The following is a 21,953-nucleotide window of genomic DNA, read 5'->3' on the forward strand; positions in this document are numbered from 1 at the left end:
AATAATGAATTGACCAAATATCTGGGCACCTTGGCCCAGTCAAGTTGACACATAAACTTTACCGTCATAGTATTTAAGGATATTTTTATTTTTTAATGCCTATTTTATTATTATTTTTGAGACAGGGTCTCCCTTTGTTGCCTAGGCTGGAGTGCAGTGGTGTGAACATGGTTCATTGCAGCCTTGACCTCCCTGTTTCAAGCAATTCTTCTCCCTCAGCCTCCCGAGTACCTGGGACTACAGGTGCACACCACTGTGACCAGATAATTTTTGTATTTTTTGTAGAGATAGGGTTTCACCATGTTGCTCAGGCTGGTCTTGAAATCTTGAGCTGAAGGGATCCACCCACCCTGGCCTCCCAAAATGCTGGGATTACAGGCGTGAGCCACCACACCCAGTAGTTTTTTTTTTATTTTTTAGGGATATTTGCCTCCCCGGAACGCTGTGTCACTTTGTGCTGCTCCTACTAACAAAGTATGAAAGGACTGTCCTTTCTGCACATCTCAGCCAACTGGTGATCTAAGCTCATTAAAAAAATATTGAGTCACTATGTCAGGGCAACTTTGAATAGTTGGTCTTCTGTACTAGTGAAGAGGGCATGATGTTTTAGAGTCATGATGGAAGCAGTGACCTGCCTCCAGGAGTGTCTCAGGAGCATGAGGACACTGGGCACCTTTCTCACAGCCCAACTGGGGGATCATTAGCTCACCAAAACTTCTTATATCTTCCCTAATGAACTGGGCTCTCTGCAAATCTTTTTTTTTTTTTTTTTTTTTTTTTTTTGAGACAGAGTCTCGCTCTCTTGCTCTGTCACCCTGACTGGAGTGCAGTGGCGCAATCTGGGCAAGCTGTGCCCCCTGGGTTCATGCCATTCTTCTGCCTCAGCCTCCTGAGTAGCTGGGACTACAGGCGCCTGCCACCACGCCCAGCTAATTTTTTTGTAATTTTTTAGTAGAGATGGGGTTTCACTGTGTTAGCCAGGATGGTCTCGATCTCCTGACCTCATGATCCGCCCGCCTCGGCCTCCCAAGGTGCTGGAATTACAGGCATGAGCCACCGCGCCTGGCTTTCTGCAAATCTTAAATTGAGCAATGCATAAACTTTTATTTCTGAATGGAAGATACCAGTCTGGATTCCTGAAAAATATTTTGGAAACTTATATTTCATGTGACTGTGAAGGTGGTTTAGAGCCTTTCAGGGGCGCACTTGCCCTAAACCAAAATCAAACAGGTTAATTTTTAAAATGTCACAAGGTTTGGCCGGTTTGGATTCTAAGTCTGTTGGAAGGAAGCAAACACTGGTAGTAAGATTACAGTAAAAACAATGCAGCTAGCTGCAGGTATGTTAATTTCAGCACTATGCATGTCTATGCTGGATCATTTTGTGCTTTAATCCTTTTTGTGTTTCATCCTTCCCACAGTCCCACTGAGTCAGAGGTATTGTTGTCTCCATTTTGCAGATGAGGCCACTGAGGTAGAGCTTGCCTACTGGGGATACAGCTGATAAGAGTGTAAGCCAGCTAATGCGTGTGACATGTCAGCCTGACCCAAAACTCTTGGCCATATATGGCTTATTGGCTTTGAATGGTTTTCATATTTTTAAACAGTTGCATTTTATTTTTTATTTTATTTATTTATTTTTTTTGAAATGGGGTCTCGCTCTGTCACCCAGGCTGGAGTGCAGTGGCGCAATCTCAGTTTACTGCAACGTCCACCTCCTAGATTCAAGTGGTTCTCCTGCCTCACCCTTCCGAATAGCTGGGATTACAGGCATGCACCACCACAGCTGGCTAATTTTTGTATTTTTAGTAGAGAGGGCGTTTTGCCATGTTGGCCAGGCTGGTCTCAAACTTATGACCTCAGGTGATCTGCCCTCCTTGGCCTCTGAAAGTGTTAGGATTACAGGTGTGAGCCACCGTTCCCCGCCTTAAATGGTTGCATTTTAAATGGTTCCATAAATACCTACCTAATCTTGACTTTACTTCTTGCCTAAGATACTTACTATCTAGCCGTGTATGGAAAAATTTTGCAATGCCTCCTCTTGACTATTACTCCTTCATTTCCCAAGACTGAAAAGAAGCCTTTTCACTGTGCAAATTAACCACTGTGCCAGTGGTTCTCAAATTTCACTGTGCAAGAGAACCACTGTGCCAGTGGTTCTCAAATTTTAGTAGGGCCCTGAATCACCTGGACGGCTTGATGCAACATAGATTGCTGGGCCTTATTCCCAAGGTCTGGGTTGGAGCCTGAGAATTGGCGTTTCTAGGTGCTGCTGATGCTGCTGTTCCTGGGACCACACTAGAAGTAACATTGAGCTAGAAGGGTGAACCAGTACTTCCGGGTGTTTGCCAAGTTACTGTGAGAGTGTCTCACTCCAGTTATTGGTAGTAGTAGCATCCCCTTTGAGTTTGAGCCATAGGTTTGTTGCCTGACAAAATCATGCACTAAGCACGGAAAACTTTTGTTTTGATGATGAAGAAATTTAAAGTATGATGGAAGTGGCTGTCTGAAAATGGAAACAGCTAGTATGAAAGAACTTCAGCTTTTTCTGCTTACATGTTTTAATCTTAAATGTGGTTAGATCTATATTTAAATCTCTTCCTTATTTAAATGATGATAATTAGCATCAATTATTGATATTTCACTATGTGCCAGGCTTTGTGCTAGACCCCTTTCCATGTCGAATCCCATGTAGTGCGTACAATAGTTCTATGAGGTTAGATAATAGTAGCCCCATTTTAAAAGTAAGTAAACGAAGGCTTAGATATAAGAGGAAACTTCTCTTAGTCTCTTGACTAGTAAGTGGCCCCAGATCATTCCAAGCTTGTCCAACCCGTGGCCCAGGGCAGCATGTACCCCAGGATGGCTTTGAATGAGGCCCAACACAAATTCGTAAACTTTCTTAAAACATTATGAGTTTTTTTGCATTTTTTTTTTTAAAGCTCATTAGCTATTGTTAGTGTTAGTGTATTTTATGTGTGGCCCAAGACACAGTCCTTCTTTTTCCAGTGTGGCCGAGGGAAGCTAAAAGATTGGATACCTCTGATTTAGACCCTTGTTCATATAGTTTTCTCTTTACTTTCTTTTTATTATTATTATTATACTTCAAGTTCTGGGATACATGTGCAGAAAGTGCAGGTTTATTACATAGGTATGCATGTGCCATGGTGGTTTGCTGCACCCATCAACCCATCATCTACATTAGGTATTTATCCTAATGCTATCCCTCCCCTAGCCCCCCGCCCCCAGAGAGGCCCTGGTGTGTGATGTTCCCCTCCCTGTGTCCATGTCTTCTCACTGTTCAACTCCCACTTATGACTCAGAACATGCAGTGTTTGGTTTTCTGTTCCTTTGTTAGTTTGCTGAGAATGATGGTTTCCAGCTTTATCCATGTCCCTGCAACGGACATAAACTCATCCTTTTTTATGGCTGCATAGTATTCCATGGTGTATGTGTGCCACTTTTTCTTTATCCAGTCTGTCATTGATAGACATTTGGGTTGGTTCCAAGTCTTTGCTATGGTGAATAGTGCCGCAATAGACATATGTGTGCATGTGTCTTTATAGTAGAATGATTTATCATCTTTTGGGTATATACCCAGTAATGGGATTGCTGGGTCAGATGGTATTTCTGGTTCTAGATCCTTGAGTTATCACAACACTGTCTTCTACAATGGTTGAACTAATTCACACTCCCACCAACAGTGTAAAGTGTTCCTATTTCTCCATATCCTCTCCAGCATCTGTTGTTTCCTGACTTTTTAATGATCGCCATTCTAACTGGTTTGAAATGGTATCTCATTGTGGTTTTGATTTGCATTTCTCTAATGACCAGTGATGATGAGCTTTCTTTCATGTTTTTTGGCTGCATAAATGTCTTCTTTTGAGAAGTGTCTGTTCATATCCTTCGCCCACTTTTTAAAGAGCTTCTGCACAGCAAAAGAAACTATCAGAATGAACAGGCAACATACAGAATGGGAGAAAATTTTTGCAATGTGTACATCTGACAAAGGGCTGATATCCAGAATCTACAAGGAACTTAAACAAATTTACAAGTTTTCTCTTTACTTGCGTATCATTCAGCTTTCACCTTCCCCCATGGCTACCACATGAATTTACATTTGTCTGTCTCTAAAACATTAGAAAAGTTTTACTCTGGAAAAAGATATGGCCCATCAGATACAAAGTTAGTGATGTTATTATAGTCTTTTTTTTTTTTTTTTTGAGACGGAGTTTCACTCTTGTTGCCCAGGCTGGAGTGCAATGGTGTGATCTCGGCTCACTGCAACATCTGCCTCCTGGGTTCAAACGATTCTCCTGCCTCAGCCTCCCAAGTAGCTGGGATTATAGGCACCTGCTACCATGCCCAGTTAATTTTTGTATTTTTAGTAGAGACGGGGTTTCGCCATGTTGGCCAGGCTGGTGTCGAACTCCTGACCTTAGGTGACCCGCCTGCCTTGGCCTCCCAAAGTGCTAGGATTACAGGTGTGAGCCACCGCGCCCGGCCTGTTATTATAGTCTTTAAAAAATTGTCCTTTAACTGCCATCGATTATTTTTACAAATTTGAATTATGTAAAATTTTTATATAGAAAAAATATATGAGACATTTAACAGATGCTAATATCTTGTCACAGCGGCTTAAGACTTTTTTTTTTTAAAGAGAGAACACTGGAGAATTGGCAAGTTCCTAAACATCCATATCCCTTTCTTCCCCATTGATATTGTTTGGCTCTGTATCTCCACCCAAATCTCATCTGGAATATAATTCCCATGTGTCGAAGGAGGGACCTGGTGGGAGGTGATTGGATCACGGGGGAGGTTTCCCTCATGCTGTTCTCGTGATAGTGAGGGAGTTCTCATGAGATCTGATGGTTTAACAGTGGCAGCTTCCCCTGTGCTCTCTCTTCTCCTGCTGCCTTGTGAAGAAGATGCCTGCTTCCCCTTCACCTTCCACCATGATTGTAAGTTTCCTGAGGCCTCCCCAGCCGTGCGGTACTGAGTCAATTAAACCTCCTCTCTTTATAAATTACCCAGTCTCAGGTGATATCTTTATAGCACGGTGAGAATGGACTAATACATCTATCTCAAAGGAATATCTTCTTTTGCTTATGCATACTTTTATCTAGAGCAAAACTACAAAAACATGCATGAAAGGTCATATATAGCAGCTTCTGCATATGACATTGTAATCAATGGTATGTTGACATTTTTTGAGTCAGTACACAGTGGGAGGTGACAAGATTAAGAGAATGAGCTCTCTTGATGTTCATGGAGGGGTAGGTTGTAGGCATGGTATTAGTAACATACCAACTTCAGGAATTTTTATCTGGCATCCCAAGTACCCCCTTTCATCAGCCATGTTTTGTTGTTGTTTGTTTTATTCATTTTTTCCTAGTTTCTCCTAAATGCATGTCTTTGGGTTCAGAGTTATAGGGTCTTATCAGGGTTTTGACAGATTATCTGAAACATCAAATATGTTTTTTTTTTTTTTTGAGACGGAGTGTCACTCTGTTACCAGGCTGGAGTGCAGTGGCACGATCTCGGCTCACTGCAACCTCCAGCTCCCTGGTTCAAGTGATTTTCCTGCCTCAGCTTCCTGAGTAGCTGGGATTACAGGCACGTGAGACCACGCTCAGCTAATTTTTTTTTTTTTTTTTGTATTTTTAGTAGAGACGGGGTTTCACCATGTTGGCCAGGATTGTCTCAAACTCCTGACCTCGTGATCCACCCGCCTCGGCTTCCCAAAGTGCTGGGATTACAGGCATGAGCCACTGCACCCGGGCTGAAACATCAAATAATTTTAAGCCTCTGTATGTGTTGTAACCTCCTTTGTTAGGCAAGGGGATTATAGTAGAGAATGAGGCAGATAAAATACCCTTCCCCTTCCCCATGGACCTTAAATTCAGGTTATTCCAATTTTTATTAGCCCTCCCCCAAATTTAATATAATATGATTTTTCTAAAGGTAATGCTTGTTAAATACAGTCCCAGATTTTACGTGCTGGCCGCAGCATTCAGCAGTTAACATCATCCTGTGTGTGGCAGGCAGCGTGTCCCAATTTTTGGTTTGTAGAAGGTGGTCACCTTATCTATTATGTGGCAATGAGGCATCCACACTCTTATTAGATGGCCTGCACAAGTTATGTGCCCATTTCCATTTGTTAATAGACATTGTGCTAATTGCATGGGTGATTTAAATGTTAAAAAGGCATTAAAGCATTTGTTGTAATAATTAACAAAGAGATTGCTAGGTTACAAATGAACGATAATGCCGTATTTTAAAAATACAGCATTACATATCTGTGCAAAGTGATATATGTTATGAAACATTAATATCCAAATGAGAGATTTGAACTGAATGATCTCCAAAATCCTTTCTAATATGTCTTTTCTGGCTTTCTAAAATATGAGCTCTATGACTATTAATATATTTTGTGAGATGTCAACTGTGCCATATTTCTGCAAACCTCAAGGAGAGGCCACAGCCTATCTTTAGTCTTATGCAAGTATATTAACTGAACCTTGCATGGTGGACTAGAGGTTGCTGATTGTCTTCTATTATTTCTCCATAATAGAAGCCCTGTTTTTCTAGGTGGGCCCATAGCTGCGAGGAATAAAGACCAGCCTTCACCCTCCCTTGTAGTTAGCCATGGTTTAAGTGTGCAACTTCTAGGACATTTCCTCAGTGGAAGACGGTCATGTCCTTAGTCTGTTCTTCCTCCCTGATAGCTGGAATGTGAATACAATGGCTGGATCTTAAGCAGCCATGATGGGACCACGAGATTGGTACTATGTGCCGAAGATGGGAGAGCCACAAGATAGAAGCAGTCTGGCAGCTGTAGATACTCAGATGTACAGAGTATTTCTTGCAGAAAAGTCTGCTACTGAGGGAAGGAGTTAGGGGCTGAGATTCAATCCAGGCTCTTTCTCAAGTTGTGTTCTTAGAGAAAGGTGGGGCCTTTTACTTTCCACAAAAGGATCATATGTTTGCTAAACCATATACTTGCAGGGCTCCTTCCACCAGGAGGGCTGCCTTTCTGTCATTTGTTCAGAGGCGCCACGTGAGCCTTGATACTGTGAAATGTCCCACCATCCCAGACTTCCCTACCTCTGAACTGTATTAATGGTAGAGAGAAGTTACAAGTTACAAGAAGTATCTTGTTTTAGCTACTCCTGTTTTGATATTTTCCATTACTGGTACCTGAGTCTAATCCTGATAAATATATCACTGTCTTTTTCTTTGCAAGAGTCACTTTGGATTTTTTGTTCACAAACAGCAATCAAATTTGAGTAACTCAGTTGAAGTGTTTTGGAAGTTTACAGAAGCTCCCAGAATAGAGAGGCAAAGTGAAGAAACATTGCTGGTCATGGGCAAGGAATTCCAGAGGCTGGGAAGTGAGTGCTAGAGGACAGCATACTTAAAGCCGGGATGGTCTGGTCATAGGTACAGCTTCTGCTACAGAGAGAATCATCTCCTGCTTGCTTTTTTTTTCTTTGTTTTTTTTTTTTCTTCCTTAAGGAGCTTATTTTTTTGTTTGTTTGTTTTTGAGTCAGGGTTGTCCTGTCTTTTTCCAGGCTGGAGTGTAGTGGCATGATCATGGCTCACTGTAGCCTCCACCTCCCAGACTTAAGCCATCCTCCCACTTCAGCCTCCCTAGTAGCTGGGACTACAGGTGTGTGCCACCACATCTGGCTGATTTTTGTATTTTTTCTGTAGAGACCAGGTTTCGCCATGTTGCCCAGGCTGGTCTTGAACTCCTGGGCTCAAGATGTCCACCTGCCTTGGTCTCCCAAAGTGCTGAGATTACTGGTGTGAGCCACCGCGTCTGGCCCTCAGGAAGGTGTCTGTCCATTTGGCAAGGCCCAGATCGTATGTCTTGCCCCCTCACTCTACTGGGTTGGGTGGAGGAAGGCCCTGGGTTCTTGGCCACCAGTTCCTGGAGCAGGAGTGAGTGCAGCTGGGTTGACTGCCTAACTGCCTGCAGTGGAGGGGGCACAGATTTCCAAAAAAGAAATGAAGCTGCTGGGAGGATGAGGGATGAATTCTGAGCAACCAAAATAGAGAAAACAGGAAAGAAGTAAAAGACAACGATGATGACACATGATCACACGCCTCTGTGGTCTCCAGATTAGAAATGGAATAGGGTACATACTAGTTTACCACCAATGGCTTTTTTTTTTTTGGTCCTTAAATCTCTACCATCCAAGAAGTGAGTGCTAACTCTGTATTTATTAGTCCCTGGATAGATAAGCAGAGTCAGTACTCACTGCTTTGTGTAGAGTACTCTCCTAGACATAAGAGGAGCATAATGACATACTGGATGGAGAGGGTCTCCTGTGGTGAGGGTGCTGGGAACACTGAAATGCATCCAGAATCACAGGGAAGCTTCAGAAATGGCTCTAAGCTCTCAGCTCACTGCCACCGCCACGCCCCTTTCCTTTATAACTCTTTAGGGAATGGTTTGTTTGCTTTTTTCCCCAGAATTGGGGATCACGTCACAACTCTGAGGTTCCTCTAACGTCATCTTGAACTCTGCAGAAGTGTGTTTCTTCCTCTGAAGTGCTATTTTGTGGTAATTTAATGTATTTTTTTCATGAATAATTTACCCATAGAGTCCTAATATCTTAAGACAGTGAATTTTGTTGTTTATCAAAGATGTATCTCAACTAGGAGACAGAAATCAATTTCTTATTACAAAGCAAAGACAAAACACAAGATCATCTACCCTGTGGGATAACAATCTGTTTTGGAAGCATTTTGGATTATTAATATTTAAGTCAGGAACACATGGATAAAGAAATTATTGTCCCTTTTTATAAAGAAAGTGGTATATTTATTACTCATCTTATGTGTCCCCATTGCGTACTCTTTTTTTCTCTCATTATCTTTTCTTATTGTTGGGTTATGAAGTGTCCTGAAGTCACAGCATTTTAGGGCTAAAATACAAACTGTACTTAAACTACCTGGTAAAAATACTTGCTTACTTTTTAAATAAAAACTCCCAGCTGGGCATGTTGGCTCACGCCTGTAATCCTAGCACTTTGGAAGGCCGAGGTGGGTGGGTCACGAGGTCAGGAGTTCAAGACCAGCCTGGCCAAGATGGTGAAACCCCATCTCTACTAAAAACTACAAAAATTAGCTGGGTGCGGTGGCAGGCACGCGTAATCCCAGCTACTCAGGAGGCTGAGGCAGGAGAATCACTTGAACCTGGGCGGCAGAGGTTGCAGTGAGCCAAAATCGTGCCACTGCACTCCAGCCTGGGCAACACAGTGAGACTCCATGTCAACAAAAAATAAAAAATAAAAATTCCCAGGGACATAGGCTTCATAACCAATTATGGTGACTTGTTTCTTTGTCTTAAACTCTAGTAGTATTTATTGCAAAAGATATATTGATGCTCTTGTTTAATTGTTATATAGCTGTTTCATGGATTCACGTGTTGTAAAAGATTTTTATGTTTTTGAAGTCAAATAGTCCATACAGGCCATTTTTTTCTGCCTTGTGTGGTTAGTCTCTGAATGCCCACAGGAAAGAAAAATAGTAGCAATAATAGTAATGGTTACAATTTATTCATGCTTCCTATATGCAATGCATCATCCTGACCCTAACCCTTTGAGGTACATATTGTTATTATTCCCATTTTACAGATGAGGAAACTAAGGACTGAGTTTTTATAGCCAAAGGCAATAGACCCAGAACTTGAGAGGTCTCTGCCTCAAAATCACTCTTGTATTTTCCCACAATGAGTAAATTGATACACATACACTTTTTTTACTTGAAGGAGAACTAGTAGGTGTTACTATAAAGAATGATTTGTGGGCCAGGAGTGGTGGCTCATGCCTGTAATCCCAGCACTTTGGGAGGCCGAGGCAAGCGGATCATGAGGTCAAGAGATCGAGACCATCCTGGTCAACATTGTGAAGCCCCGTCTCTACTAAAAATACAAAAAAAATTAGCTGGGCGTGGTGGTTTGTGCCTATAGTCCCAGCTACTTGGGAGGCTGAGGCAGGAGAATCATTTGAACCTGGGAGTTGCAGATTGCAGTGAGCTGAGTTTGAGCCACTGCACTCCAGCCTGGCGACAGAGCCAGACCCTGTCTTTAAAAATAAAAATAAAAATAAATACCAAAAGATTTGTGTTTTATTGTAGGTATTAGAACATATTAAGCTACTGTTTCACCCAGACATATAGCTTTGTAAAAACTAAGACTCGACTGGGTATGGTGGCTCACACCTATAATCCCAGCACTTTGGAGGCCAAGGTGGGTGGATCACTTGAGGTCAGGAGATTGAGACCAGCCTGGCCAACATGGTGAAACCCTGTCTCTACTAAAAATAAAAAAATTAGCCGGGCATGGTGGTGCGGGCACCTGTAGTCCCAGCTACTTGGGAGGCTGAGGCAGGAGAGTTGCTTGACTGGGTGGTGGAGGTTGCAGGGAGCCAAGATCATGCCACTGCACTGTAGCATGGGTGACTGAGCAAGACCCTGTCTAAAACAAAACAAAACAAAACAAAAAAACAAAAACCAAAAAAAAAAAAAAAACGCAGACTCAGAGAACCAAGACAGATTTGGAAACTTCATTCAGGGAAGAATTTGTTAGATCATTGACATTGCTTTAGTTTTAAAAATTCATTTTATATTCTTAGCTAATTTTCATTTTAACAAGCTGTGATGGTCCATAGAAATGAATGGAAAAATGCCAGGTTGATTGAAACTGTATGCTGGAGAAGGTGTGGATCCACTTTAACACATACTTGGCTTCAGCGGGTTAAAAGACTACACAATCATGTGACATTGTGACATTGTGATGTGACCATCCGTTAGTTTTAAAATCTGAGACTGTTTTATATTAGTTATGGGAGTGAGCAGAAAGCACAGAAGGAGGTTTTTGCCTGTGTCTCTGTTGCTTTGAAACAAAATCAGGAAAAACCGTATCTCCAAAAGCAGCCTGTGTGCCATCTTCTGTGCTACTGTAACTTAGTAACTTTTTTAAAGCAATTAGAAACCAGGGACTTGAAGTGGCCCAGAGACTCATAAGACAGGCTGATGATTTCGCTGGATAGAATTGGACTTTGCAGAAAGGTTTTGATAACCTTTTTGGCCTGGTGCCCTGCCCTCATCTAGTCCTTTCCCATTTGTAATAGAAGCATGAAGTTCAATGCTATTGACTTCCCAGGAGTCATTGAATTGCCACACACACAGTGAATTTGGAGTTTGGTTCTTAAGTTGAAAGGGGATAAACAATCGACATTGAATTTGTACCTCTTATAGCTTTGTTGACTTAATGGATTGTCCCCAACAATCCATCAAGAATGGTACATATACCAGCCATCACCTGGCTCACTAAAAGCCAGTAGAAATTCCCAAACCTCATTTTAGGCAAGGATTTCCACTTCTCCTCTTGTAAAAGCTTTCCCAAACAGCAAGGATTCCAGACATGAGACATTGTATTGCTTTGCCTGCTGTGAAACTGTACGATCTTACAATGGAGAGAGAAGAATGGCAATTGGATATGAATTGTAGAAATTTGGGAGAAGGAATTTGTTCGTTGACTTGTATTTTCTATGAAGATGTAATCGAGGAAAGGCCCTGGGCTTAATTTTTTTAATTAACAGAGAAGACTGCAGGTGTTCTCAAGTATTTATCAAGCCCCTGCGCCTTGGGCCTCTAACTGGGAGTTGTGGGGATGACTGGTGTCGAGGTCTTTTCTTGCTAAAGTGTGTGGGGAGTGCATACTCAGGGGATGTGCCCCTCCTCTCTGTCCTTTGTAGTGACTCTTGGCTCTCCCGGGTCTCCCCACTGCCAGTTTTCCTCTGTGATACAGCCTTCGGTGGTGTCTTTGTCAGCAGGCTTGGCAGTGGCAGAGAAAGGGAACAGGGAGAAGGTGGAATAAACCTAACTGGTGGCTGGCCCTTTCCTATTATGGTTCCTTACCCTCCCTTTTCCGTTTTCTCAATCCTTCATCCTGTTTCTTCCTCCCAGAAGTTATGTTAATCAATTCTGAAGTCTCTCTGAATTGAGGCCATGTGTGGTTGGGGTTTGGAAAAGCAGGGCTTACAGTTAGGTTGAGTCTGATCATCACTCACTCACTCTGCTCTAGCGACCCTGGACTTCTTGCTGTTCCTCACACTTCCCAGACACCCTTGTGCCTCACTGTTTTGTAATTGCTCTCCCCTTTCCTGGAACGTTCTTTTCTGAGACCCAACTTGCTCTTGACTGCTTCTGTGAGTCTTTGCTCAAATGTCACATTTTCCTAAGGCCTTTGCTGGCCGCTCTTGCTCACTTTACAGTGCAGTCCTGACTTGTCCTATGTCCTCTCCCTACTTTTTTTCTCCTGGGCACCATTTGTCATTCTATATGTTTTACTTTATCTTGTTCATTATTTATCCCTCCTCCGTCCTGCTTAGGGGGTAAACACCATGATGACAAGGGAATTTTTTTTTTTTTTGAGACACATTCTTGTTCTGTCCCCCAGGCTGGAGCTGGAGTGCAGTGGCAGGATCTTGGCTCACCACTGCCTCCACCTCCTGGGTTCAAGCAATTCTCCTGCCTCAGCCTCCCGAGTAGCTGGGATTACAGGCATGCACCACCACGTCCAGCTAATTTTTGTATTTTTAGGAGAGGTGGGGTTTCACCATGTTGACCAGTCTGCTTTTGAATTCCTGACTTCAAGTGATCCACCTGCCTCGGCCTCCCAAAGTGTGGGGATTACAGGTGTGAGCCACCACTCCCGGCCAACGGGAATTTTTAAACTCGTATTTAATTGTAACATGCATGTGGAAAAATGCATGCATTATAGTGAACCGCTCAATGAATAATCACAATATCTGAACACAGCCATGTAACCAACTCCCAGATGAAAAAACAGTATCACTCCCGAAGGTCTCCCCATGCTCCCCTCTTCCCACTTCAAGGGCTACTACCGTCCTGACTTCTGATATCATAGATGAGGTTTGGATGGCAAGAACTTCTGTCAGTTTATTTCACTGCTGTATGTGCAGGATATGGCAGGTGCAAAGTACACATTGATTGAGTACATTAAAATAATACTGGAAGAGAGACCTGTATTTCTGATGTAGCTAGATTTCTAAAGCTGACCTCCATTGATGGATTAATCCCCGCCAATGGAAAATGCAGTTAGAGGCTTTAGAAATATTATCCAGTGGCAAAACACTGGCCATTATAACTTAGACGATTAGATTTGTCACTTGTTTCTGCTGCGTTGGCCTTGATTATGTAAGTATTTTAGCTGTGATGTCTTTAAGTCCACTCTTCTTGCTTGTAATTTTAATTTATTGTCTGTTCTATTTGCTGGCACTTAATCAGACATCTCTCTGGTGATTGTCTTACAGGATTATTTAACTTCTTCTTGCCTTTCAACTGCATTGTAAATTTAACCAAGCATAATAAATTTGCACCAAATTTTACCCTTCAGTGTTGATTCTTCCCTAGCTGGAATTACTGTACATTTCTGTTTCTGGTCACTGGCCACTCTCTGGTACTACTTGAGAATTGATTACTGTTCCAGGTGGGTGACTACATTAGAATTGCAACCTGAACTATTTTAGCGCTTTAAGTAATATAGTATCATCAGTTTTGATTGTGCTGTTAACCATTTGATATTTGATGATGAGTTCAAGGATACAGTGGCTTCCTAGAAGTTTGGGTTACAGGTGCCTCCAGTAGAGATGTTTACAAACTCAAAGATGTACCATTCACTACAGAGACACTATGCAATTGAGTACAGTTATTGGGCCTTTATCCTGGAAGATGGTAGAGATGTGTCTAGAGAAGGGAGTACCTTTTCTAACTTGCACAAAGTCACATCAGCCAACTGATGGGGTTTGACCATCTGTAAGATGGAATATTATACAATAATTTAACAAGAAGAACATTATATTTTTGGATTAGCTTTGTGTCCTGTTTTTCATATTTAACACCATGTCCTGCATATTTTCCTAAGTCAAAAAGTTCCTGGAGAACTTTTTTTTCCCTTAAAATCCATAGAGGTCATCCCCTGGCTAGGGCTGCCATGTAAGCAAAATCCATGTGTCACCTGGGATGCTCTCGGTTCAAGTAAGGGAAGACCCAACTCAGAACAATGAGAAAATAAAGAAATAAGTTAGTATAAATACTGGAGATCCAGAAGTAGTGTATTTCCAGACAATCAGCGACCAGTGAACTTCACTGGAACCTCATATTGTTTCTGACTTTCTGCTCTGTCATCTGTGGATCAGATTTAGCTTTAGAGTGGTTCTCCTTAGTATGGCAAGATGCAGCAACATGAAGTGTTGCATCGAGACCAGGAGAAAAAGGAGTAGACCAATTCGGGCCCTTGAGCTTGTCTTAATCTGTGTTGTGCTGCTGTAACAGATTACCACAGACTGAGTAATTTATAAGGCACAGAAATTTATTGTCTTATGGTTTTGGAGGCTGGGAAGTCAAAGATGGAGGGGCTGGCGTCTGGTGAGGGCTTTCTTGCTCTGTCCTTCCATAGCGAAAGGTGGAAGAGCAAAGAGAGAGGGCAAAACAAATACACACACACACACACACACACATGCACAAAAGAGGGCCAAACTAGTCTGTTTATAATGAACTCTCTCCCTTCATAATCCATTCATGAGGCTGATGCCCCCGTGGGCCAAATACGTTCATTAGGCTCTACCTCTCAACACCACTGCATTAGGGATCAAGTTTCTAAAAGCTGAACTTTGGGGGATACATTCAAATTATAGCAAAGTTTGCAGTTGAGCTGAAGGGAAATTTGGACACTAAATTGATTTTGATGTAGCAGAGGAAGCAGTCTGGATAAGGGTGGGGATCAGATACAGGATGGGGCATCCAGCCCACTTGCTAGAATTAGAATTGGGCTTTTGGAACTCTGTTTATGCATAAGTCTTCCTGCAAGGCTTATATTTAAAGCAACTATATAAAATATGAAAGTCAGTATCAAATTTCTAGTCCTGTTTTCCTTTAATTTCAGTACTATAACTTCAAAGTGAAATTGTAATTTTTGTTAGGAAATGAGTAACGGTGAATTTTATGTTATGTCTGTTTATTTTGGTTAAATTTTTAAACTGCCTTTTAAAATTTTCCTTCAGACGGGGTGTACTATCTGGCACACAGGATGCCTAATACATAGTTATTCAATCATGGAAATGTATTTTCTGTTCTTAAGAACTTTATAAAGGTGCCAACTGATGTTGGAGTTCTGAAAGTAATGTTTTAATTTGAATGATTTGAGAGATACAAGTGGAACTTAAAAAATTATTTGTCGAGTGGGTTTCTCGGGGTGAGCAGAGGTCGATGATAAATTTAGAGGAGTTGGTTTTGTGACCCAACCCTAGGTTAGAACTATGCAGTATTCAGTCTAAGTCAAATATTTAGGACTATTCTGATTTCCTGTCTCCTTTATTTTCAAGAAATGTCTTTGTTGTAGAATTCATATAATCCATCCTTTAATTGGTACATTGTTCAAAGGCCTGGTAATGTGTGGTAATAAACTTTTGTTTTATTTCCCAGTATTTTATTGGATGATTGACAGGAAGTTACAGATTTAAAGTCATGGTGACTTTTCTATTTTTTTTTCTTTTTACTGTCACAACAGCATTAATTTTCATGGCCTGATGATCTGTTGAGATATCTTTCTAAGAAGTTGCTAAGTTTTATCTGCCCTCATCTTCCTCCATCCCTCCCCCTTGGTATTACCATTATAAATAGGATACATGTGCACATTTTTGGTGAAACAAGAAAAGGGAAACCCCCATGGTTTCATTGTCTTTAAATATATATTTTCTCATGTTACGAGGTCCTTGTTTCTATCAAAAAGGGTTGGATAGAAAGTAAAAATGATGGCTACTGTTAGATTATCTTTAGAAGAGATATATATTATTAAAAATACCATTAACTTTTAATTTTGAAATAATTGTAGATTCACAGGAAGGTGCCAAGATAGTACAGAGCGGTCCCATATACCCCCTTTTTTTGTTTTCTCTAGTGGTTCCATCTTACAGGATTACAGTACAATATCAAAACCAGGAGTTTGATATTGGCACAATATATGTTTGTAGGTCGTGGACATTTTATCTCATATATGGTGTAACCACTGCTGAAGTCCAGATACTGGATGATTCCCATGTCACAAAGATTTCCCTCATTCTACCCCTTTATAATTGCAAACATCCTTTCCTCTACTATCTCCAAATGGTGGCATCCACTAATCTGTCTTACATCTCTCTCATTTCGTCATTTTGAGAATATTGGGCTGGGCCCTGTGGCTCATGCCTATAATCCCAGCACTTTGGGAGGCTGAGGCGGGTGGATCACTTGAGGTCAAGAGTTTGAGACCAGTCTGACCAATATGGTGAAACCTTGTCTCTACTAAAAATACGAAAATTAGCCTGGGTGTGGCAGTTGGCGTCTGTAACCCCAGCTACTTGGGAGGCTGAGGCACTGGAGGGGGAGGTTGCAGTGAGCTGAGATCATGCCACTGTACTCCAGCCTGGGTGACAGAGTGAGACTCCCATCTCCAAAAAAAAAAAAAAGTAGTTATATACATAGAATCATATAATATGTATATAGTGTGTGACTTTCATAGTGCCCCTGATCTCCATCCAAGTCATTGTGTGCACCAATAGTTTGCTTGGCCTTATTGTAAAGTAGTATTCTGTGGCATGGATGCACCACAGTTGGTTTAATCTTTCACCTTTTGAGGGAGATTTTGGTTGTTTTCACTTCCTAGCTGCTACAAAGTCAAATATTAACAGTGCGTACACGTTTTTGGATGATCATAAGTTTTCACTTCCCTGGGATAGTCACCCCAGAATACAGTTGCTGGGGTGTATGGTAAATGTATATTTAAGTTTTTTTTACTGCCAGGCTCTTCCAGAGTACCTTTCCCACTCTACACTCCCACCAGCAATGCATAAGAGATCCAGTTTTTTTGCATCCACCCCAGCAGCTTTTGGTATTACCACTATTTTTTTATTTTAGCGATTCTGATAGGTATGCAGTTATATCTCAGTGTGGTCCCAATTTTCATTTTCCTGGTGGCTAATGATACCGAATATCCTTTCATGTGCTCATTTGCTGTCCTGTCTTTGTGTCTTTTGCCCACTTTCTTATTGGATTTCTTTTTACTGTTGAGTTTTGAGAGTTCTACACACACTCTAGATAGTAGATATTTGCAAACCCCATCAGATATGTGGTTTGCAAATATTTTTTATCAGTATAGAGCCTGTTCCCACGTCCTCTCACCAAGGCTCTTTATAGCACAAACATTCTTACTTTGAATGAAATCGAATTGATTGATTTCTTCTCTCTGGCCGATGCTTTGGTTGTCATATCTGAAAACTCTTCACCAAGCACCAGGTACAGAAGATTTTCTCTTCTCCTTTTTTACCACTTACGAGTTTCATACTTTACATTTAAATGTACAATCCATTTTGAGTTAATTTTTGTGTAAGTTGTGAGATTTACGTTGAGATACGCTTTTTTTTGGGACAGAATCTTGCTCTGTCACCCAGGCTGGAGTACAGTGGCGTGATCTGGGCTCACTGCAACCTCCACCTCCTGAGTTCAAGTGATTTCTGGCTAATTTTTGTATTTTTAGTAGAGACAGGATTTTCACCATGTTGGCCAGGCTGATCTGGAGCTCCTGACCTCAAGCGATCTACCTACCTCAGCCTCCCAAAGTGTGAGATACACTTTGTATTTTATTTTTTAAATTTTTTGCCTGTGGATGTCCAATTGCTCCAGCACCATTTGTTGAAAAGACTATCCTTCCTCCATTGAACTGCCTTTGCACCTTTGTCAAAAATCAGTTGGCCGTACTCTGTGGGTCTCCTTCTGGGTTCTCTATTCTGTTCCATTGATCTTTATGCCTGAATCTCAGCCTATACCACATAGTCTTGATAACTTTAGATATAGAACAAGTCTTGAATTTGGATAGAGTGATTCTACCCACTCTATTCTTCTCTTTTTGAAGATTTGATTCCCTGCCTACCTCCACCACTACCCCCACCTTTTTTTTTTTTTTTTGGCTTGGAATGGCTACTGTGTTCATTGCAAATGACCACAGCACTCCCTGAGAAATCTTCCCTTTCATGTGGCACATTTAATCCTGAGGGCCAGTTCTAACGGTTTGGTAATGTCTTATCATCTGTTTTATTCCTTTCTGGATTCCAATTTTAAGTCAGATCGAGAGAACAAGGCCTGGCCCAGCAGGAGAGTTCTCTGATCCTTCGGTCCTATCTGACTTGGGTATGATAGGTATGTGGTATCAACAAAGCTGGGTTTTTGCCTCACTGGTATCAAATAAGGCACTGCTGAGTGTTAGTTGGAGAAGAGCCAGAAGCTTATGACTGGCTGGGATGAGTGGTAGAGAACAGGCCTTCCCCACATATTTAATCTAACCTCTCTAGTTTAAATATTTCCAGTGGATCATCATACTCTATGACCTTGTGACATAAATCTGCACAGAGCGGCAGTTCTTATCTTCAGACTTCAGTCAAGTTTCATTACTGTGGTTTATGTGTAGTGGCTTTGTTTTGGGGCTTCCGCTTATACTGCTGTCTGCTTGTTTACCATCTCTTTCAAGCGAAAGGGTCTTTTGATTTATGACTTGGTGGGATCCTTTTCAGCATTGATAGAGAGATGTATGGGTTAATGGTTGAAAATACATAGGATTTGGTTGTTAGAGTATATCTAGAGAAATTGAGCTACTTTGAGGGAAATATAATATCAAATCTCACTTGTACTGATAATTTGTATAATGGAAATATACTGCCATTAAATGGATAACACAAAAAAATTGCTAAATATAATTGTAAGTAGGCACTTTCCTACCTAGGACATATAAGATAACCACAAAGCCATTTTATAATCCATTAAACACTGCTGATAGAATTATATCTTCTCCAATGCATGCCCCCTAAATTGCCTGTTTCGATGCCTGAAGTTTTGCCATTAAGGATTATTATTATTGTATTTTTGCATCCCTAGAAATTTTCTTTGTTGGATTGACAGTTCCCTTGAGTTTATGATTTGTTAAGCTGTTCCAACTTATTAAGATTGAATTGGCCGGGTGCGGTGGCTCACGCCTGTAATCCCAGCACTTTGGGAGGCCGAGGCGGGCGGATCACGAGGTCAGGAGATCCAGACCATCCTGGCTAACGCAGTGAAATCCCGTCTCTACTGAAAATACAAAAAATTAGCCAGCCATGGTGGCGGGCGTCTGTAGGCCCAGCTACTCGGGAGACTGAGACAGGAGAATGGCGTGAACCCGGGAGGCGGAGCTTGCAGTGAGCCGAGATTGTGCCACTGCAGTCCAGCCTGGGCAACACAGTGAGACTCCGTCTCAAAAAAAAAAAAAAAAGATTGAGCTATTGAATTTAATTTTGATTTTGATTTTCTGTGGCATTTTTCTGAGTGCTGTAGTTTTGAATGCAGGAGGGGAGAGGAATAGACCTGGAGCCCAAGTTGTTTGGGAAAGTGGTTTAAGTCATTGTAGTGTAAAATCATAATTTTTTTTTTTTTTTGAGATGGAGTAGTGCGGTGGAGTGATCTCATCTCACTGCAACCTCAGCCTCCCAAGTAGCTGGGATTATAGATGCTTGCCACCACACCCAGCTAATTTTTTTGTATTTTTGGTAGAAACAGGGTTTTGGACGGTTGGCCAGGCTGGTCTTAAACTCCTAACCTCAGGTGGTATGCCCAGCTCAGCCTGGGATTTGGGATTATGGGCATGACCCACGGTGCCCGGCCCATATCAAAAAGTTAAAACCATGGATTTTATACAAACAAAATGAATACATGTCAAACGCAAATCATTAATAAGGCAAACAATAATCAAGTAAAGTTGGTTTAAAGGACATTTTGAGGAACTGGGTATTCGTAAGTTACAAAGGCATGCCAGAATATGATTGCTAGGTTACAGCCAACACTGGTTAATGTCCTACAGGGTAATACAACTGCTGCCTGTTTTTCTTTCTTTAAACTGGATATAAATCTACAGGTTAATGTGTAAGGTCACCAAGTCTTAACTTTAATCCCAGTAATATCAAGTCAAACAATGGTATGTTCTAGGTAACTAAATAATTTAAGGTGAGCTTGTTAAATTCTTCACCTACCATGACACTGAAATTTCGGAGAATTTTTCTTCTCAGCAGTTTGCGAAGCTTCTTGGCTACTGATAATGCCTGGGTTTTATCTACTTTACAGTTTTGCTTTGGTCTGGTATGGAAGGCTGGTCTACCTGTTTGTGAGGCAAAGCACTTTACCAGCTGGTAGCTGAACCATTTGTGATATTTTCATTGTTTTTCTTCTTCTCTGTTGACATTTGCCACTTTCAGTCCCATTTCCATCTCCATGTCTTTCTTTCATCTTGTTAGAGTGCATTTATGCCTCTCAAATTTGCCTAGCGTGCTGGCAAAGAGGAACAGTCTGTTGGAGATGAGTGAATTACAGAGTCCCATATGATTTACTTTCTTCACTGTCTTGGACTTGGAGTTAGGTGGACATGCCTCTGCACACACCCGTGCGACCTTGAGCAAGTCTGGTGCTTACTTTAAAAGGATACTGTGAGGAGTAAAGTGTTAAAATAAAGGATTTAAAGCTATGCATGGTGGTGCACATTTGTGATCCCAACACTTTGGAAGGCTGAGGTAGGAGAATCACTTGAGGCTAGGAGCTCAAGACCAGCCTGGTCAACATAGCAAGACCCCTTCGCTACAAAAAAATTAAAAAATTAGTTGGGTGTGGTCGTGTGTGCCTGTAGTCCCAGCTACTCGGGAGGTTGAGGCAAGAGGATCATTTCAGCCTAGGAGTTAGAGGCTGCAGTGATCTCTGATTGCACCACTGCCCTCCAGCCTGGAAGACAGAGCAAGACCTTGTCTCAAAAAAAACAAGTTAAAAAAGAAAAAGATTTAAAAATGGTGTCTAGCACACACACAGTAAGTTTTCAATTAAGATGATCTAGCTAAGAGCTATGTATTTTTTTTGTATCTTATTATTTTATATCTTAGGTGCTCTAACATATTTGAAAACCCATATGCTTAAAAGGACCAGGGAGCAGGCCTGGTGGCTCATGCCTTTAATTCCAACACTTTGGGAAGCTGAGATGGAAGGCTTGCTTGAGCCCACGAGTTCGAGCCCAGTCTGCGCATCACAGTGAGACCTAATCTGTACCAAAAAAAAAAAAAAAAAAGAAAGAAAGAAAGAAAAAAATTAGCTGGACATGGTGGCATGTTCCTGTAGTCCTGGTTACTTGAGAGTTTGAGATGGGAGGATCGCTTGAGTTTGGGAGGTTGAGGCTGCAGTGGGCCGAGATTGCACCGTTGTGCTCCAGTCTGGGCGGCAGAGAGAGACCCTGTCTCAAAAAAACAAACAAACAAACAAACAAAAAGGACCAGGGAGGCTCCCTGTAAGTAGCTAAAGGGGCTTACAGAATTAAATACAGGAGCAAGGGTAATCTGATATCTGGCATCCCAGCTGAGGGGAGAATAGTGATTAGTAGGGGCAGTGGTGAAGGGGAGAACATTTGCACTAAGTGAAGATGGCCCACAACTGTGCATCCGGGCCAGTTGTTGCCGTATGTTTCAGGATGGCTTGATACCAACATTTTTAAAGGGAAGAGTAAAGTCTGATTGTCCTGTGTTCTTTCCCCTTTGTAAAGGTTGGCAACTGATTGACATTTAAAAACCGCTATATTTTTGGGTTTCATAGAGTAGGCTATCAGTTTGCCGTGTTTGCTCTGGGTTGATTTAGGTTACTCAACAATAAAGGTAAATAGTTAATTTAGACCTTGTAAGACCTTGTGACCATAGCAATCATTTTCCCAGTCCTCTGCTTTCACAGACAAGGGAGTAGCTTTGGGCAAAGTTACATGGCCCGTTAGTGACAGTACTTTTACTTTTTATGAAAATGAGCTTTACTTTTACACATTCTTTGATTTGG

General features: G+C 41.5%; 1 protein-coding gene across 6 annotated transcripts in view, besides 2 other annotated features; it reads left to right on the forward strand.

The window, feature by feature from the left end:
• Window positions 1-21,953, forward strand: part of PTPRG (protein tyrosine phosphatase receptor type G) — a 736,039-nt gene that overhangs the window by 146,118 nt on the left and 567,968 nt on the right. The window lies entirely within an intron of this gene.
• Window positions 7,325-7,826: an enhancer, noted in NCBI's record as "H3K4me1 hESC enhancer chr3:61700687-61701188 (GRCh37/hg19 assembly coordinates)". NCBI's record gives its function as "activates a minimal SCP1, AML or CMV promoter by ChIP-STARR-seq in primed H9 embryonic stem cells {active_cell/tissue: H9 hESC(primed)}" and the evidence as "EXISTENCE:reporter gene assay evidence [ECO:0000049][PMID:30033119]".
• Window positions 7,827-8,326: an enhancer, noted in NCBI's record as "H3K4me1 hESC enhancer chr3:61701189-61701688 (GRCh37/hg19 assembly coordinates)". NCBI's record gives its function as "activates a minimal SCP1, AML or CMV promoter by ChIP-STARR-seq in primed H9 embryonic stem cells {active_cell/tissue: H9 hESC(primed)}" and the evidence as "EXISTENCE:reporter gene assay evidence [ECO:0000049][PMID:30033119]".

This window comes from Homo sapiens, chromosome 3 (genome assembly GCF_000001405.40).
Source record: "Homo sapiens chromosome 3, GRCh38.p14 Primary Assembly".
Lineage (NCBI taxonomy): Eukaryota > Metazoa > Chordata > Mammalia > Primates > Hominidae > Homo > Homo sapiens.